This window comes from Homo sapiens, chromosome 13 (genome assembly GCF_000001405.40).
Source record: "Homo sapiens chromosome 13, GRCh38.p14 Primary Assembly".
NCBI classification, from domain to species: Eukaryota; Metazoa; Chordata; class Mammalia; order Primates; family Hominidae; genus Homo; species Homo sapiens.
In genome coordinates, this window is record NC_000013.11 from 25,338,275 (window position 1) to 25,357,727 (window position 19,453).

General features: G+C 39.2%; 1 protein-coding gene across 9 annotated transcripts in view, besides 2 other annotated features; it reads left to right on the top strand.

Annotated features, from left to right (window-relative positions):
* Positions 1–11,526, top strand: part of NUP58 (nucleoporin 58) — a 48,176-nt gene extending 36,650 nt beyond the window's left edge. For 8 of the 9 annotated variants that reach the window (XM_047430805.1, XM_047430806.1, XM_047430807.1 and 5 more), the window contains 2 exons: positions 362–457; positions 1,691–4,147. In XM_047430805.1, coding sequence (XP_047286761.1) covers positions 362–457; positions 1,691–1,860 — 266 coding nt within the window. In that variant the 3' untranslated portion in view covers positions 1,861–4,147. Of the gene's footprint in view, positions 1–361; positions 458–1,690; positions 4,148–11,287 lie in introns of those variants that run through there. The other variant, NM_001411001.1, reaches the window with a different exon arrangement.
* Positions 1,168–1,337: an enhancer, noted in NCBI's record as "experimental_32788 CRE fragment used in MPRA reporter constructs". NCBI's record gives its function as "activates a minimal promoter by MPRAs in K562 erythroleukemia cells, with activity observed for both the introgressed and non-introgressed 13:25913665 variant alleles {active_cell/tissue: K562}" and the evidence as "EXISTENCE:reporter gene assay evidence [ECO:0000049][PMID:34662402]".
* Positions 13,863–14,476: a transcriptional cis regulatory region, noted in NCBI's record as "candidate enhancer chr13.188 targeted for multiplex CRISPR interference". NCBI's record gives its function as "positively regulates NUP58 gene expression with high confidence in K562 cells {active_cell/tissue: K562}" and the evidence as "EXISTENCE:mutant phenotype evidence [ECO:0000015][PMID:30612741]".

Genomic DNA, 19,453 nt, shown 5'->3' on the forward strand with positions numbered 1-19,453 from the left:
TTTGTGAAATGAAATACCCCTAAAGTGGAAATGGTTATAACTGACTAAAATCATACTTGAATGGTGGGTAAAATTTTCTAGCACATTTAGAAGAGAAAATACTAATTTCTTTTTTATGGCCTTGTTCTTTAAAAATTGATGGGTCACAAACTTAGTCTAAATAGATATAAACGTTTTATTTCAGAATTAGTCTAGTTCTTCTAAAAGTCTCATGCAAAGGAGTAAGCAGATTTCCTTAATAAGGCCATGTTTTTCAGCACTGTATCTGTTAGACCTCTGATGATTTTCGGTTGTACTTGTCCATATCCTTTAACCTGTGTTTTATGTGCCATTGTATATTTTTCTATTACCCTTCCACTAGGATTTGGAACTAGCTCTGGTTTTGGATGCAGCACCACAGGGGCCTCCACATTTGGATTTGGAACAACAAATAAACCCTCAGGAAGTCTTAGTGCAGGTTTGTGTGTTTCTGCCTGGATTTCAGGCAAATTTAAAGGTGTAAATTATTTAATTTAAAAGTATGTGTTGTTATTTCCAGTAACCCAAAAAGTTCCCTCCCTGATTCAGTTTTTACTCCCTGGATGAAGTGTGCAAGCCTAACTAATCATTTTACTTTATCTCTCTCATAAACTAAAGGGCAGGTTTGTAAAATACTTCTAACAAGACTTCTTAGTTTGATTTAATAATTAATTACATCTTCTAACTCAGAGATTCATTTGAACTCTAGTGACTAACTTCATGGTTAAATAATTTTCTTCATTATTACAAAAAGGAACCCATCATTGTGAAAGTTTAAGTTTTTTGTCATAATTCATCCTGGAGAATGATTTCTATTCCAGGGTCCCTCTGGTTTTAAGAATACCACAGTCTTACAAATGATTATTAATTTAGTTTCTTGTTCATTTTTGAAATAGGTATAATTTTTTGACTCTTCTTATGAAAAATTCCAAATTTCATCTACTTTTGCATTTATATTGGTAAATATGGCTTGTTTTAATGTGCAGTGCTTAGGGACAAATACCATATCTAATGTAATGACATAATACTGTGAAAGATGTGTTTAAATTTAGAGAATTTGAAGGAATTAAGTAGCGTTTAAAATCAGCAGTTCCAGTGGAGGAAGATAATAATAGGATTCCATGTTATCAGGATTATAATTGAAATATTGTATTAGTTAACTAGGCAGTAGTAGTACTAGATCTTAATTTTGCAAAAGCTCTTATAAAATCAAAACAGTAAGTACTGCTCTTTTGTTTGTTCATTGTCTTGAACATTGTGGGTTGAAGCTTTCCTGGAGGACTTGGGATTGCAAGGGTAGGTCCAGATATGTGAATGTCTCTCTTCTACATGTTGATAAAATGTTTTTGGTGGGTCTAAGGAGGAAGGCACCTTGACATATTTAATTAACAGGAAAGTTTCTGGCAACTTGAAGTTTATATAGATTTTAGTAATTTGTGCTAAGGTTTCTCTTTTGACCTGCATCACTACACTCTCTTTCAGGGTGCCACTTAGTTGTTAGCTATATTATTTTCCTGTTAAAATTTCATGTTAGAAATTTAGGGCTTTAATATATTTGCTATTCTTACAGATTATGTATTCTTTTAGATAGAAATTTACTGCTCCTCCCTGTTTTTATATTTGTTTTTGGAATTCAACTTCTGATATGAATATTTTTTTCCCTAAACATAAGGCTTTGGCAGCTCAAGTACATCTGGGTTTAACTTCAGCAATCCTGGCATCACGGCATCAGCTGGTTTGACTTTTGGGGTGTCCAATCCTGCCTCTGCAGGTTTTGGAACAGGAGGACAACTCCTTCAGTTGAAGAAACCTCCAGCTGGAAACAAAAGAGGAAAAAGATAAACATGGGTTGATGTGTTGAGAGAATCCATAGCAGCACCGTTCATTCTATGAGTCTATTTTTCTAATGATGCAGTAATTAAATTGCATCCCAGGAGATTTATAAAGTTTTGATATTTTTCCCTACTCTGGAATTTGAACTTTCTTCATGTTTGCCATACTGAACATCTTTTTTCTTGTGGAATTTAAAGTCCAGCTGTGTTTTCTTTTTAATTTGATTCTCAGTGTAAGAAATGTTCTGATTACATCACTGATTGGTAATGGTTAGAAACCATTAACCTAAAACTTACTATTTAACCTAGTGTTTTTGTTGATGAGGTTTACATTATGTGAATACATGCACATTTGTTTCTTATACAGGTGGTGTGAACTCTAGGGCCTATACTAGAATCAATTTGTTCCTTGTTAAAGGCCTTTTGAATTATACTGCAGGGCATCTTGTGAATATGTATGTAAATATATACAGAATAATACACACAGTTGTGTGTGCATATAAAATACATATTTACGCCAGGCGTGGTGGCTCACGCCTGTAATCCCAGCACTTTGGGAGGCCGAGGCAGGCGGATCACCTGAGGTCAGGAGTTTGAGACCAGCCTGACATGGTGAAACCCCATCTCTACGAAAAATACAAAAATTAGCTGGGCATAGTGGCGGGTACCTATAATCCCAGCTACTCGGGAGGCTGAGGCACGAGAATCACTTGAAGCCGGGAGGTGGGGGTTGCAGTGAGCCGAGATCACACCACTGCACTCCAGCCTGGGCAACAAGAGCAAAACTCCGTCTCAAAAAAGATGAAAATAAAATAAAATATATATTTACAGGCCTACAACTTTTGCCTCAGACTGTTCCCCTTTTCTAAGGGTATTCAAGTTTTCACCTTTTAAGCTTCATATCCTCAGTGCTTGTAGAATGATGAGCTTAGAGGTACCAGGTCATTGCAGTTGTTTGCTTAAAGACTTATTGAAATGGTTACTGGCGTAAATACTTGGCCAACTCAACTTTATTGCCCCTGATCTTTTCCATTTTTGTTTCCACCTTAACCTATAGCAGCTCCTCCAAATGAGGAATGCTGTAAGTAAGACTCATCAAACAGATTTTAACCATTTTATTATCCTGTGTGTCCTTACATTGCTTCTGTGAGATGTTTTTTTCTTATCTGAGATGAACTTTCAGGAGCCTATTTGAACTCCAGACTGGTGTTCTGGGGCAAAGAGCTATTAGCCAAACTGATTCTATGCAGGTGAAGGATGCACTAAAGTTCTCACTTTAGTGAGAACTTTTCTAGCTATTCCAATACAGAGTTCTTTCTTATAGGGCTATTGATATTGACACCAAATGGAGTGGCTTCTCAGCCTCTTAATGTCTTAAGTAAGTGCTTAATTTGGAATAGAGAAACCAGTATATTTTAAAAAAGAAAAATATTCTTTGTAGCAACTGTAAATTCTCCCATTATAACAGTGAACAGAGCTCCAGGTAATAACGCATAGGCATGTCAGGTTGCATCTGTATATTTGACTACATTAGTATTAGTGACATCAGGTGGATATAAAAGAAAACCCTTGGAAAGAGAACTGCCTTAGCCATGATTTCGTTAGTAGACCTATTTATGATTCAATTGCAATTTTCAGATAGGATGTGAACATGGAATTTCATTGAAAATAGTTTAATTTTTTATATAAAAGGTTTTGTATATAATGTGTGTCAGTGACTATTTTCAAAATCATTTTCATCAAGACACCTTTTTTCTAAAATAGGCATTGCATACACATATGCACACGTATGTGCATGTGCCACACATTTTTTGTATAATGTTGGGTTTGATTATAAAAGTGTTGTCAAATGTTTTATTTATCTGCATATAGCAGTGGTTGGCTTTTTTGAATTGAAATTTTTGCGCATTGATGCATTGAAATAAGGAAAATTATTTATCTCTGAGCACTAAACTTATTTTTGCATATTTCTGTAATATTGCAGTCCCCAGATCCAGAACATGGGAAGTTAGGGAAAATGTGTGATTTTGTGTTTTGAATTACTGTCAGAATTACATACACAATTACAACAAACTTTTTTTAAAAGACATTTCATTGTACTGCAAAAATCTGAATATTTATATTTCTTGTTTTTTTCTTTATATGTTTTGCATTTTAATATGTTGAGCCACTGGAAATTTGTAACAGATTAATTTGTTATAGGAGTTTAAATGTGTTGTCATTGTCTCCATTGTCTTTGTCCAGAGCCTATTATTATGGAAACAATAAAATTTATTGTGTCAGTTGCTTTGATTCTTTATAGGTGTCAGTAGCTGTTCTTAATATGTAATTTTATTATTGCTCTTTTAGTCTCCGGTTGGGTTTTAGTATATTCCCTTCATTGGTTTATACATCTTGCTCTTTTTTAAACAGAAGAGTGAACATAAGATAGTAAATTATTTCTCACTTGCTTTTGTCTTCTCAAAATGACAAAAACAGTGAACATTTTTAGTTATAAAGAATAATATTGAGTAAAAAAGGAAAAATCCCTTTGAACTTTTGGGCCCTAATTCCCTTCCATTTCCTAGTGTGCAGTCTGATGGTTTGATATGTATCCTTGTAGACCCTTTTAAATATGTCTTAAAAGAATATATAAATGTTACTTCTCTTTTCTTTTTCTTTTATATTCTCTCTGATTTTTTATCACATTTTATTCTCTTGGATCCCTCTTTACTTTTTTAACAAATAGGTTAAAAAGTTTGTGTTCTGGACTTGTTCTTTTTCCCTTCTATTAGTATATCATCAGCATCTTTCTGTGTCTATATAGATTTACTTTTTACATACTGTCCCATAGAATGGGTGTACAATGATCTGTTTCAACTACTGTGTGGTTTTTTTAGGAAATGTAATTTTTTAAAATTTTTTTTATTTCCATAGATTATTGGTGAACAGGTGGTATTTGGTTGCATGAGTAAGTTCTTTAGTGGTGATTTGTGAGATTTTGGTACACCCATCACCTGAGCAGTAGGCGCTGACCCAGTTTGTAGCCTTTTATCCCTCACCCTCTTCCCACCCCTTCCCCTCTTAAGTTCCCATAGTCCATTGTATCATTCTTAATGCCTTTGTATCCTCATAGCTTAGCTCCCACTTAGAGAACATAGGATGTTTGGTTTTCCATTCCTGAGTTTCTTCTCTTTTTTTAAATTTTTATTTATTTATTTAAATTTATTATTATTATACTTTAAGTTTTAGGGTACATGTGCACAATGTGCAGGGTAGTTACATATGTATACATGTGCAGTTTCTTCTCAGAGTAATAGTCTCCCAATCCCATCCAGGCTGCAAATGCCATTAATTCATTCCTTTTTTTTTTTTTGAGATGGAGTTTCACTCTTGTCGCCCAGGCTGATGCCATCTCGGCTCACTGCAGCCTCTGCCTCCTGGGTTCAAGCAGTTCTCCCTCAGCCTCTGGAGTAGCTGGGATTGCAGGCATGATTACGCCTGGCTAATTTTTGTATTTTTAGTAGAGATTTAAGTAGAGATGTATTTTACCATGTTGGCCAGCCTGGTCTCAAACTCCTGACCTCAGGTAATCTGCCCGCCTCGGCCTCCCAAAGTGCTGAGATTATAGGCGTGAGCTACCATGCCCAGCCAATTCATCCATTCCTTTTTAGTGGCTGTGTAGTATTCCACATATATATGTATATATATATATATATATATACACATATATATATACGCACACACACACATACATACACACACACACCCCACACCAACTATTCTCTGGATGGTTAGGTTCATTTGACTATTTCAGTTTCTTCGGGGTTGATTCTGGAAATAAATTGCTGAAAAGTCATATAAATTGTGTGTTTTAATGTCACATTGCCTTCCCAAAATGCTATACAAATATATACTCCTACCAGCATGTATATCCATTTCCTAGTATTCTTTGTGATCCCAGTTAATTGTAATCCTAATTATAAGTCTTTGTGAGGTCAACCTTTTTAATATGTATCAGCTATTTGTATGTTAATGTAATTGCTTATTATATCCTTTGGCAATTTTTATACCAAATTAGGGTTTTTTCTTAATGATTTGTAGGACCTCTGTAGATAATAGGTATTAATATTTTTCCTGAGAGATATGTCTAGTCAGCTGTGTTCAGAATCCCGCCTTGACCATGTGTGATTTTAAGCAAGTTATGTAACTTCTAGACTTCAGCTTTATCCTCTAGAAAATAAGGATGATATACATGGGTGGTTATACTAATAATATAATCTAAAGCATTTGGATAGTGTAACCCCTGACACCTGAGAAGCATTAGGTCTTCCTGCACCAATACCCCACTGCCTTAATCATTGTAGCCGGATGCTTTATTTGTATACCTGATAGGAAGCTGCTTTATCTTAGCCTTTTTGTTTGTTTTTGTGTGGGGAGGCTATTCTAGGACACTTAGTCTTTAAGATGAACTTTAGTGTCTATTTTATTGAGTTTGATTTTTCTTTAAAAATTCTGAGATTTTTATTGGATTTACACAAAATACGTCCTGGGGGAAATTGACAACAATAAGCACAGCATGATACATGCATCTGTTGGGTCTTTTGTTCTTTTAACAAAGTTTTTATTAGATTCTTGTTTGATTATTTTTACTAACCATCTTGATTTGAATTGAGTGCAAATTTTTATCCTGTAGTAGGTATGAGGTCATTTACATTATTACAACCAGTTATTTCCTGTCCTTTCTGATGATAATATAGTAAATCCGAGTTAATGTCCTACCTTTTCTGTGAATAAGGCTGACTTTGCCACACTTTTTGAAGCACACACCAAGACAGGCTTATTCAGTCACAGGATTCTGGGCCTTGCTAACATGAGCCAGTGTCCTGGGAAGTCTTGAGTTGGCATACCTAACTTAAATCTCATGCACAAAGTCCTCTTTGCCTCTTACATCACATCCCCATTTATTGGGTGCATAGTCTGTCCTGGGTACCACTCAGCATTTTATATACTTGACCATGTTTAGTCTGAATATTACTGTGTAAAGCAGAAATACCCAATTTATAGATGAAGGAACTGAGGCTAAGGTTAAGCAACTTACTTGAGGTCGCATAGCTAAGTCATAGGGCTGGGTTTTAAACCCAGACCTGTTTAATTCCAAAGCACAATATTTTACTGCCTGTCTCTGATCAAGGAATAGCGTGCTGATTTTCATGACTAACTGAAAGGCACTGAAGGTAATGTGATTACACAGTTCATATGGGGGAAACTACAAGTATGTGATAGATCAGGGCAAAGTAAGGTAAGTACCTAGGTCTATGTGATTTAAAAGGAGAGGGAATACTATCTGTGGTGTAAAGAGCGTTATAAAGAAGCAAGAGCCGGACTTGTGCAGTCCATCTTTGACCTTTTCTTGCTGGTTCCCTATGAAGAGGTTTATGGAGAAAAGCATCATCCCAGCAACTGGATGATGGGGGCGGTGGGGGGGGGTCTGTCCACCTTGGAAAAGGTAAGCAGAGCCATTTTGACTATTTGAATTTTAGGAACTGTCAAAGAGAAGTTTAACAAGAAAACCCTTCCTGGAAGGCTTGTATGACCCCTGTGACTCAAAAGAGCACCACATGCTCAGACCAAGTGAGACTTGCTGGTACAGATCAACTGGCCCTTTAAAAAGCTCAAGAGAACCAGGGAGACAGGCAAGAATGAGAGGCCGCAACATACATAGGAGAGAGTAGGGATTAATGGAAAAATTGACTGTGGCCCAGAATGGTTTTTGCCTTTTTCCCATTCATTCAGTAGAATGTGTTTGTTTTTTCTACCTAGTCTATTTGTCAGCTAATGGAAACAAAAAACCTACCAGGCTTACAAAGGTTTCATTGCTGACAAGTGTGCTGCAGAATTAACTTGGGGAGAACTCCTTTCTTGTCATCACCACCCCTCTTTTAATCCCCCGGGAAGCAAGTCAGTTTAATTCAGTAAACATTCCTTAATAATTTGTGTGATCCACTGCTGGGAATTTAGGAATATAAATACATATGGGTAGGATATTGTCTATACTCAATAGCTAACAGTGCTAAGCAGGGGCCAGGATCTACTCTTATGAGCTGCCATACGTTAACTCATTTAGTCCTCAATCCCGTGAGCTGGGTAGTGTTGTTCCTTTTTTTTACAGGTGAGAAAACAGGCACAGTTGTTAAATAATATCACCACTCAACTAGCAAGTGAATGGGCCAGAATTCAAACCCAGGCAGTCTATGTAGAGTCTATGTAGGCTTTTAACTTTACATAAATTAATGATATAAAGTGGGCTTTCTTAAGTTAAAGGGATACAAGAAGGCCAGGCGTGGTGCTCATGCCTGTAATCCCAGCACTTTGGGAGGCTGAGGTGGGCAGATCACCTGAGGTCGGGAGTTCAAGACCAACCTGACCAACATGGAGAAACCCTGTCTCTACTAAAAATACAAAAATTAGCCAGGTGTGGTGGCACATGCCTATAATCTCAGCTACTCGGGAGGCTGAGGCAGGAGAATCGCTTGAACCCAGGAGGCGGAGGTTGCAGTGAGCAGAGATCGCACCATTGCACTCCAGCCTGGGCAACAAGAGCAAAACTCCATCTAAAAAAAAAAAAAAAGATACAAGAAAAATTCTCGAGTATATGAGGAGATTAATTTGGCCTGAGGGAATCAAGAAAATAGGTGGCTTTGAGGAATAAATATGAATATGGTTTATATTTTATGAAGTATTTACAAGTTTAAAGAACCATGTATTTAAAATGTTAAATTTGAACAACATAAAGGGGTTCAAAATAAAAAGCAACTAACACTTCACCCTCCAGAGGAGGTTTGTATCCCTTATCTCAAATGCTTGGGACAAGAAGTATTTCAGATTTTAGAATATTTTCATATACATAATGACATCTTGGGGATGGGATCCAAGTTTAAACATGAAATTCATTTATGTTTTTTATACACATAGCCTGAGGGTAATATTATACAATATTTTAAATAATTTTTTGTGTGAAATGTAGTATTGACTGACCCTTCACATGAGGTCAGATGTGGAATTTTCCATTTGTGGCTTCATGTTGGCACTCAAGTTTCAGATTTTGGAGCATTTCAAGTTAGGGATTCTCAACCTGTATTTGCATTCCAGCTCATGGGAAGAAGGAATGAGTGAAGAGAATACCTTTCCTTTCAGGAGTATGAGCCAGCAGTTGCATACTTCTGCTCATACCACATTGGCCAGCACCTAGTCACATAGCTGCAAGTAGGTCTGGGGAATGTCTTTTGCTAGGTGTCCTGCACTCAGCTAAAAACAGCACTGGTAAGGAAGAAGGGGAGAATTTACCTAGGGTACAATAAGTAAATCTCCACAGGCTGCTGGGCCTCGGCTTGCCTCCTGAGCAGGGTTATAACCTCGATGTCTTTGTTAGCAACCACAAGTCTCAGTGCTCCAACGTTTTCACACTTTCACTTCATTTTTGGTTTCCAAGGATTTACTTTTTGGCTAATTCAGCTATGCATCTAAAAGATGTTTTTAAAAATTGCCCTCATTATTTTCAGGTGTTTTGTAGTGGGGCTGTGTTTTAGGAGTCTACTCCATATACAGCTAACAGAAGGCCATAATGGAGCTTGTTTTTGTAGATGTTTTTATAGGTGCATTAATAAAAATTCTTTCAAATCATTGTTTACATCTTCTCAATTAGCCAAACAAGGATCGATCTAAAGAACAATACTCTTGTTTTAGTAACTTAAAAAACAATAATGTGCTGAGCATTTACTCCTTCTGGTGTCGAGAATTTCTACTCCTCTATACCATGTTTTACTTGCAGTTGATTTAGAACGAGAAATTCTTTTTAAATCCTGATAATAAACATATTTTGTGGATATCTATTATAATCCAACAAGGGAGTGTCTGGCAAGTCGTTCTCCCTTGGTTGAGAAGCAGTGCAGTCTGCACTGTCCACAGTGGTAACCACTGGCCATGTGTGGTGGGCGTGATTGAGGAACTGAACTTTTAACTTTAATTTTTATCTATTTAAATTTAAAAACTGACACACCATTCAAATATTGGGCGACATTTAAGTGTGTTTGGAAAAACTTGAGTATATGAGTCTACATTGTCAATTGTAAAATTTATAAAATCTAAATGCAAATTAAATTTCAAAGGAAATTTAGCATTCAAATTGAAAATTCTTTAGGTATAAAATTCACACTGGATTTTGAAGACAGTATGAAAAATGCCAAATATTTTGTTAATGATTTTGTATTGATGACATGTTGAAATAAGTATATTTCAAAATGTTTGTTTCCTTGTTTTAATGTGGTTAGTATAAAATGTATTATTATTATTTTGAGATAGGAGGGTCTTGTTACATTGCCCAGGCTGGTCTTGAACTCCTGGGATAAGTAATCTTTCCACCTTAGCCTCCCAAGTAGCTAGGATTACAGGCACACACCATCACACCTGGCTAGTATAAAATTTAAAGTTATATATGTGGATCGCATTATATTTCTGTTAGACTATGCTGCTGTAGACGGTGCAGACCGTGGTTCTGGGAGCAAATATGGCTTATATGTCTAAAAGAGAAATAAATTACAGATAATTTAATTTGCTTCTTTTTGCCTCTTATATCAATTGTTAAAGCATTTTCCTACTTGGTATCCCTGCTTTCTTTGTCTACCCTTGTTCATCATCAGAGCTCCTACAGTTATCTTCACAAACAGGGTCATGTCAAGCCGATACTCATTGGTGCTCTTTATTTCAAACTCTTTTTCGTAACATACAAAGCCCCTCATAGTCTGGCCTCTACTTTTACCAGTCCCTCCTGACACTTTCCCACACCAAGACCATTCCCGAACACTATGCTCTTTCACACCAGGGGCTGTTTCTTTTGTCTGGAGTAACTGTTAGCCCTTCAGCATCATCTTTCCTCATCCTTCTCTAACTACCCCCGACAAAGTTAGTTTGTACCTCTTCACTCTGGTTAATACAGGCTTCCAATACAGGCTTACCAAGTTATATTTTTATTATTTGGTGGTATCTTTGTCTCCCATATTAGGCTGCATAATCCCAGGACAGGAGCCCTGTCTTAGTTTGGGTTTATTTTTGCTTACGGTCTAACCAGATTCTATTAATGTTTATTAATTAAATAATGCAGTGGGAAAAGGGTTACTTCAGTGACCCTCCCTGTTGATCTTTCTCCATATAGGCCTTGGAACCATGCTACTAGGGTTAGAATCTCAGCTTTATCACTTGGTAGCTCTAGTTAGGCAAGTTATTTAACATCTTTGTGCCTCATTAGTAAAATGAAGATAAGAATCCATCTTATAGGTTGACTGTGAAGATTAAAATGGTTTAGCTTACGTAAGGTGCTTAAATATATTCCTGGTGTAAGCTAAGATGCAATAAATATTAACTATTGTCATAATACAGTCTAAACGATTTTTCTCTTTCAGGCAACAAATCACAGGTTTTAACTGAATTTCGAAAACCCAGTGTTACAGAAACCAATGAAATAGGAAGAAAAATACAGTTCTGAGCAGTCCTTGAATCAACAAATATCTACCTTTAAGGAACTTCTAATTCTCATTTTGTAAATCCCATTATTCAAGAAAAGCACATTAAGCTTAGAGTAGGTTTGATCAAGATGTTTAGAATTAAGGAAATAAAACTTGCCTTTGGTGTTTAAGGACAATCTAATGGCTCATATACCAGATCCTCGGAGTATTTAGAGGAACTGGGAAGCAGACCACTAATTCAATGTATAGAAGGCACTGGTGGAAAACTCACGGAGTAGGAAAAGTCGGTGCAAAATAAAATTTACCAAGTATAGTGAATTAAATACTTCTAAGTTCCAATTATGCAACTCACTCTTTTTAAAAAAAAAAACACATTTTATTGAAATATAATTCACATACCATTACAGTTCACCCATTTGAAGTAAAATTCAGTAGTTTTTAGTGTATTCACAAAGTTGTACAATATTATCACAATCTAGTTTTAATTAAAAAAAAATTTTTTTCAGATTGCCTGAGCTCAGAAGTTCGAAACCAGCCTGGGCAACATGGCAAAACCCCGACTCTACTAAAAATACAAAAATTCGCCGGGCATGGTGGCAGCACCTGTAATCCCAGGTACGCGGGAGGCTGAGGCACAAGAATCGCTTGAATTTGGCGGCGGAGGTTGCAGTGAGTCGAGACTGCACCACTGCACTCGAGCTTGGGTGATAGAGCGAGACTCTGTCTCAAAAAAAAAAATTTTTTTTAGAGATAGTCTCTGTCACCCAGGCTGGAGTGCAGTGGGGTGATTATAGCTCACTGCAGCCTCCATCTCCTGGGCTCAAGCAGTCCTTCCGCATCTGCCTCCCAAGTAGCTGGAACTATAGCCATGTGCCACCATACCTGGTTAATTTTTTTTTTTTTTTTTTTTTTTTGAGATAGGGTCTCTCTATGTTGCCCAGGCTGGTCTCGAACTCCTGGCCTCTAATGATCATCCCACTTTGGCCTCCCAAGGGGCTGGCATTACAGGCATGAGCCACCATGCCCGGCCACAGTCTAGTTTTAGAACATTTTTTTCACCACCCTCCCGACCCCCCCCAAAAAAAACCCATAAGAACATTTTGTCACTCCTTATTCCACCCTAAGTCCTAGGTAATCATTACTCTCTGCCTCTCTAGCCTGTTCTGGATTTGTTTATATAAATGTGACCTTCTTTCACTTCTTTTTTTCATCTTCTTTCACTTCACATAATGTTTTCAAGGGCCATCCATGTTGTAGCACATATGAGTAGTACTTCATTCCTTTCTATTGTCAAATAATTTTGTTTTGTTTGGCTTTTTTTTTTCTGGAGATGGAGTCTCACTCTGTCACCCAGGCTGGAGTGCAACAGCATGATCTCGGCTCACTGCAATCTCCGCCTCATGGGTTCATGCCATTCTCCTGCCTCAGCCTCTCAAGTAGCTGGGACTACAGGCGCCCGCCACCACGCTTGGCTAATTTTTTGTATTTTAGTAAAGACGGGGTTTCACCTCGTTGCGCAGGCTGGTCTCAAACTCCTGAGCTCAGGCAATCCACCCGCCTCAGCCTCCCAAAGTGCTAGGATTACAGGCATGAGCCACCATGCCTGTCAAATAATATTTGATTGTGTGGGTATAACACATTTTATTTATCCATGCATCAGCCGATGAACATCTGTTTCCATTTTTTGGCTATTGAGTATTACTGCTGTGAATATGCATGGACAGATTTTTGTGTCAATGCATGATTCCAATTATCTTGGGGTATATACCTAGAAGCAGAGTTGCTAAGTCATATGGTAACTCTATATTTAATATTTTGAGGAACTGCCAAACTTTTCCAAAGTTGCTGCACCATTTTACATTCTTACCCGCAATGTAGGAGGGTTCCATATCCTTTATTGTCTGTCTTTTTTACTAATAGCCATCCCAGTGAGCATGAAGTAGTATCTCATTGTGCTTTTGATTTGCATTTCCCTAATGACTAATGTTGAACATCTTTATTCACATACTTATTGTCCATTTGCATATTATGCAACTCATTCTTATGTATATACCATTTCTGTGTTCATCCAATTAGCCAACAAATATTTGTGAGCAACTATTATGTGTCAGACATTTTTTAAAGTGTTGGAATAGGTAAGTGCACACATCAAACAAAAATTCCAGGCCAGGTGCAGTGGCTCACGCCTGTAATCCCTGCACTTTGGGAGGCCCAGGCTGGAGGATCACTTGAACTCAGGAGTTCAAGACCAGCCTGGGCAACATGGTGAAAGCCTGTCTCTACAAAAAATACAAAAATAAGCCGGGAGTGTTGGCACCCACCTGTAGTCCCAGCTACTCAGGAAGGTGATGTGGGAAGATCGCTTGAGTCTAGGAATTCGAGGCTGCAGTGAGTCAAGATCACACTCCTACACTTCAGCCTGGGTGACAAAGTGAGACCCTGTCTAAAACAAAACAAAACAAACAAAAAAAATCCAGCCCTCTAGTTGGGGGACATTCAACTAGAACATATATTCTAGTTGGGGGACATAGGCAATATATAAGATAAATAAGTTAAATATGTAGGCTGTTAGGGGGTGATAGTACTATGGAAAGAAAAAAAGTAGAGAAGGATAGAGACTGCTGGGGGTGAAGCTTGAAATTTTAAATAAAGCAGCTAGAGAAAGTCTTGCTGAGAAAATGGTGACTGAGTAAAGACAGATGGCCGTAAGGGAGGAAGCCATGCAGAGATAAGGAGAAAAGAGGCCCAGAAAATAGCATTTGAAAACAGAGAAATGAAATGTCATCAGATTGCATAGAGCCTTGTGGGCTTTGATAAGGACTTTGGCTTTCACTGTGAGATCCTGTTTTTGGAGGATTTGTATGGAGAGGTAACATCTGGCCCCATCTTAACAGGATGTTGGAGGTGCGTGTATGTGCACATGTGTGAGGGGGTACTGGTTGCCACAATGACTGGGGACCAGGGATGCTAAACATTTTGCAACAGAGAACGATCTTCCACAAACTGTGAATTTAGAAGCCAAGCTGGGAAACACCACAGCAAGAAGGAATGAGGACATGAGTTGAGAGGCTATTCCTGCAATTCAGGTGAGAAGTGAGGGTGATTTTGTTGCCAGAAAAGGGGTCTTGGTCCAGACCTCAAGAAAGGATTCCTGGATCTCGTGCAGGAAAGAATTCAAGGTGAGTTGCAGAGTGCAGTGAGAAGAGATAGTTTATTGAAACCTACTCAGATACAGAGTAGGGTATCCTCAGAAGGCAAGAGGAGGAATGTGCCATCTTTGTATTAAACTTTTCTTATATAAGGGTCTTATCTACGTAAAAGCTAGGCTAAGTTATGTCTATGTGTGGGTGGACTGACAGCATGACAAAATTTAGTACTTTGTTGATTTAAAGAAAGTTATTTTTGGCATTTTAGTGCATGAGTACATCAACACATGGCTACATCTTAAAAGCATATATTGTTATGCGATATTGGGACATCTGGACATTCTGCTGTCATGGTCGTTTGTCCTTGCAGGCATTCCTAAATTGCTTCCTTAGCTGTAAACATCTTTTTTTCTTTTTTTTTTGAGACGGAGTCTCGCTCTGTCACCCAGGCTGGAGTGCAGTGGCATGATCTCAGCTCACTGCAAACTTTGCCTCCTGGGTTCAAGCAATTCTCTTGCCTCAGCCTCCTGAGCAGCTGGGATTACAGGCACTTGCCACCATGCCCAGCTAATTTTTATATTTTTAGTAGAGACAGGATTTCACCATGTTGGCCAGGCTGGTCTCAAACTCCTGACCTCCGGTGATCTACCTGCCTGGGCCTTCCAAAGTGCTGGGATTACAGGCGTGACCCACCGTGCCCAGCCTTTAGCTGTAAACATCTTATGATCATGGGTCGTCACTGGCAAAGGAGTGTGCCTTGCTGGCTTTAAGATGGAGTTGATTTCAAAATGGTGTCATCCTGGCTCTCCTATGCTCCTGTTTCCCTATCAATTTGGAGCAGGCTGGGGCAGTGTGGAGGATGACTCTGGATATATTCTGAAGTTGGAGTTGAGAGTACTAGCTGACAGATGAAATGTAGGGTGAGAATAAGAATCAGAGAAGACTTTGAGGATTTTGGTCTGAGTGTTGGGAAAAGTGGAGTTGGCATTAATTGAAAAGGGTAAGACTGGAGGAGGAATAGGTGGGGAAAGGGCTGCAGAATCAAGCGTGCAGTCTGAGACATTTGAAGTTTGAGATGTCTTTAGACATACAAGTGGGCATGAGGAGCAGACAGCTGGAAACACAAGTCCAGTTTAGAAGAGAGGCCTGAGGGGTGATATGAATGTGGGAATCTCATCAGGTCAGATGATCAACAGATGAGTGACTTAGAAAAGAGATAAGGTCTGGGGCTTCCCAACATGAAGAAGTCGGAGTAGTGAGCAGGAAGCAGCAGGGAGGCTCTGCATGTCCATGAGACAGGAGAAAGGAGTGAACTGTCAAGGATGGGAATATCTGGTTGCACTGAGAAGTGTGGGTGAGTGGAGCGCTAAGGAGGACAGCCCGACTGGAGTGGGGTCCTAGGAGCGTGGGGGGAGTCCCGATCTGGCTATTATGGTCTATTCCTCCAGTAGCCAATCCTTTCTGCTGATTACAGATATATACTCTGGATAAAACACAAAAAAGCTACTTGAGGGTTTTGAATAGTATGTAACAGAAGGCAGACTGTGGAAGGGAGTCAAAACTTAGAGAACTTCATGGGGCTGTTTCCCATTATCTTTTTTTGTTCTTTGGGGTGTTTTTTTTTTTAATATTTTGTGTTTTATTTTTTGTTTTTGTTTTTTTTCCCCCTCAATACTTTGCCCCAGGGGCAGGCTTCAGTGGCTGATCAGTGCAATTCATGTGGCTAAAACTCCAGTAGAAACTTCTCAGTCAGGGCCAGGCACGGTGGCTCACGGCTGTAATCCCAGCACTTTGCACTTTGGGAGGGTGAGGTGGGAGGACTGCTGGAGCCCAGGAGTCCAAGATCAGCTGGGCAAAATGGCGAAACCCTGTCTCTATAAAAAAATTAAAAATTAACTGGGCATGGTGGTGCATGCCTGTAGTCCCAGCTACTTGCGAGGTTGGGGTGAAAGGATTCCTTGAAACCAGGAGGTCGAGGCTGCAGTGAGCCATGATCGTGCCACTGCACACCAGCCTGGAAGACAGAGGGAGACCTTGCCTCACACACACACACAAAATAAAATAAAATAAATTCAGTCTTTCTGACTACGGGAAGTCAGGCAAAAGAGCCCCTGTAGACTAGAGAGAGCGTATGTGTGGTAGGGGGCACTTGAGACGGGGAAAAAGCCAGAGAAGGGAATTCCATAATCTGTGTAAGTCTCAGATTAACCCCAAACCACGCATGTGCAGGGCAGACCCAAACCAGGTGAGCAAATGCTTAAAGAACTGAACTGAGGCTTGGATCACTGAAGGCAAAACAGAGCTTATGGTCTGAATTTAACCAGGGTGATTGTATGATAGAACAAAACATCAGCATTCTCTAAGGGATTAGAATAGAATCCAGAGTTTATATGACATAGCATGGACAGTGTTCCCAGGACATTGTACAAAATTTACCACCTACAGAGAACCAAAAAAATGTGACCCATCCCCAAGACAAAAGACAACCCTGAGATGCTCAATGAAGTGAGGAAAAAAAACCAAAAAACAAACCCCGCCCCCACACACACACATGCACACAAAACCAACCCAGGAAATCTCAGTGGAGAAATAAAAACTACAATAAAGAACCAAATGAATATCTTAGAACTGAAAACTATGGTATCTGTAATAAAAATTTACTGTAGAGGCCAGGCACGGTGGCTCACACCTGTAATCCCAGCACTTGGGAGACCGAGGCAGGCGGATCACCTGAGGTCAGGAGTTCGAGACCAGCCTGGCCAACATGGTGAAACCCCGTCTCTACTAAAAATACAAAAATTAGCCGAGTGTGGTAGCGGGCACCCGTAATCCCAGCTACTCAGGAGGCTGAGGCAGGAGAATCGCTTGAAGCAGGGAGGTGGAGGTTGCAGTAAGCCAAGATCAAGCCATTGCACGCCAGGCTGGGTGACAAGAGCAAGACTCCATCTCAAAATAAATAAATAAATAATAAATAAAAATTACTGTAGAAATCAATAACAATGAAAATGATAGAAGAGTCAGTGAACTTGAAGATCGATTAAAATGATCAAATCTGAACTGAGAGAAAAATGGTTGAAAAGAATGAATATGAGCGCTCCTACTGCAGAGCCAGCCGCGCCAAATAATGTCTCTATGATACTCGAGAACTTTCATTTTTTTCCAGGCTCGTTCGGATTTGGGGTGGTTTTTGGTTTTGTTCCCCTCCCCAACTCTTACCCTCACCTTTTTTTTTTTTAAATTTTTTTACTGGTGTTATATCTTTGATTCTCCTTCAGCCCTCCCCGTTCTCATTTTTCTTGATCAACATCTTTTCTTGCTTCTGTCCCCTTCTCTCACCATATCTCTTAGCTCCCCTCCAACCTGGGGGGCAGTGGTGTGGAGAAGCTGCAGGCCTGAGATTCCATCTGCTCTCCTTCCTGGAGCCCAGAGTGGGGCAGGAGAAGGGGGTGGCATCTTCAGCTCCTCAGCACTGAGGAAGAATGGGGCTCTTCTCATTTCACCCCTCCCTTTCTCCCCTGCCCCCAGGACTGGGCCACTTCTGGGTGGGGCAGTGGGTAACAGATCGGCTCACACTGAAAATGTAAGAACTACAAACAAAATTTCTATTAAATCAAGTTTTGTGTCTCCAGAAAAAAAAAGAAAGAAAGAATGAATACAGTTTTAGGGACCTGTGGTATAATATCAAAACATCTAACATCTGTGTAATAAGAACACCAGTGTTAGAGTTAAAGAGTGGGCCAAAGACAACATTTAAAGACATACTAGCCAGAAACTGTCTAAATTTGGTGAAAGGCATACATGTACAGATTCAAAAGGATCACCAAACTCCAAGCAGAACAAGTTTAAAGACATCATGCCCAGACATAATCAAACTGTATAAGACCAAAGATAAAGAAAAGTTCTAACTCACTGTAGAAAAATGACCAATTGCACGTGAAGGAAAACTATTTGAATAATCATGGATTTCACATTAGAAACCATGAAAGACAGTGGATCAACATCTTTAAAGTGCTAAAAGAAAAAAACTGTCAATCCAGGATTCTATATCTAGTGAAAATATACTTTTAGGAATGAAAATGAATAGAAACATTGTCAGATAAAGGAAAACAAATCATTTGTCTCTAGGAGACCTCTATAAGAAATGCTAAAGGGGTTTCTTGAGGTTGAAAGAAAATGATACAAGATGGAAATTTGGATCCTATTAAGTTCTTTAAAACACATATGACTATTTAAAACCTAAATTATGACATTGTTAGGCAGGGTTTTCAAGGTACGTTGATATAATACTTATGATAACTCCTGACATAAAGAGTATTTGGCAGAGAGGAAAGGGACCTCCACGGTTGCAAGGTTTTAATGGTTTATGAACCCTAAATAGATTTGAAAGTTTAAGTATGTATATTGTAATGCCTAGAGCAATTACCACCACCAATAAATATACAAAGAGAGACAGCCAAAAGGTCAATAGAGGCTGGGCATGGTGGCTCTCACCTGTAATACCAGCACTTTAGGAGGCCGAGGCGGGCGGATCACTTGAGGTCAGGAGTTTGAGATCAGCCTGGCCAACATGGTGAAACCCTGTCTCTACTAAAAATACAAAATTAGCCAGACCTGTGGCACACACCTGTAATCCCAGCTATTCAGGAGGCTAAGGCAGGAGAATCGCTTGAACCCAGGAGGCAGAGGTTGCAGTGAGCCAAGATTGTGCCACTGCACTCCAGCCTGGGCGACAGAGTGAGACTCTGTCTCAAAAAAAAAAAAAAAAAAAAAGCGGGGGGGACGAAACTGAAGTAAGAGCAGAGACATAGTAACAAAAGAAAGTGCAGAGTTCATGGACACAGACGCTAGAAGGTGGGAGATGGGCGGGTGGAAGCTTGTGAAAGCTAACAGTGGTGATGCAAGTGGAGATAGGGACGTCTGAAGAGAGAGAAGATATAAAATAGTTACCCCGGCGCAG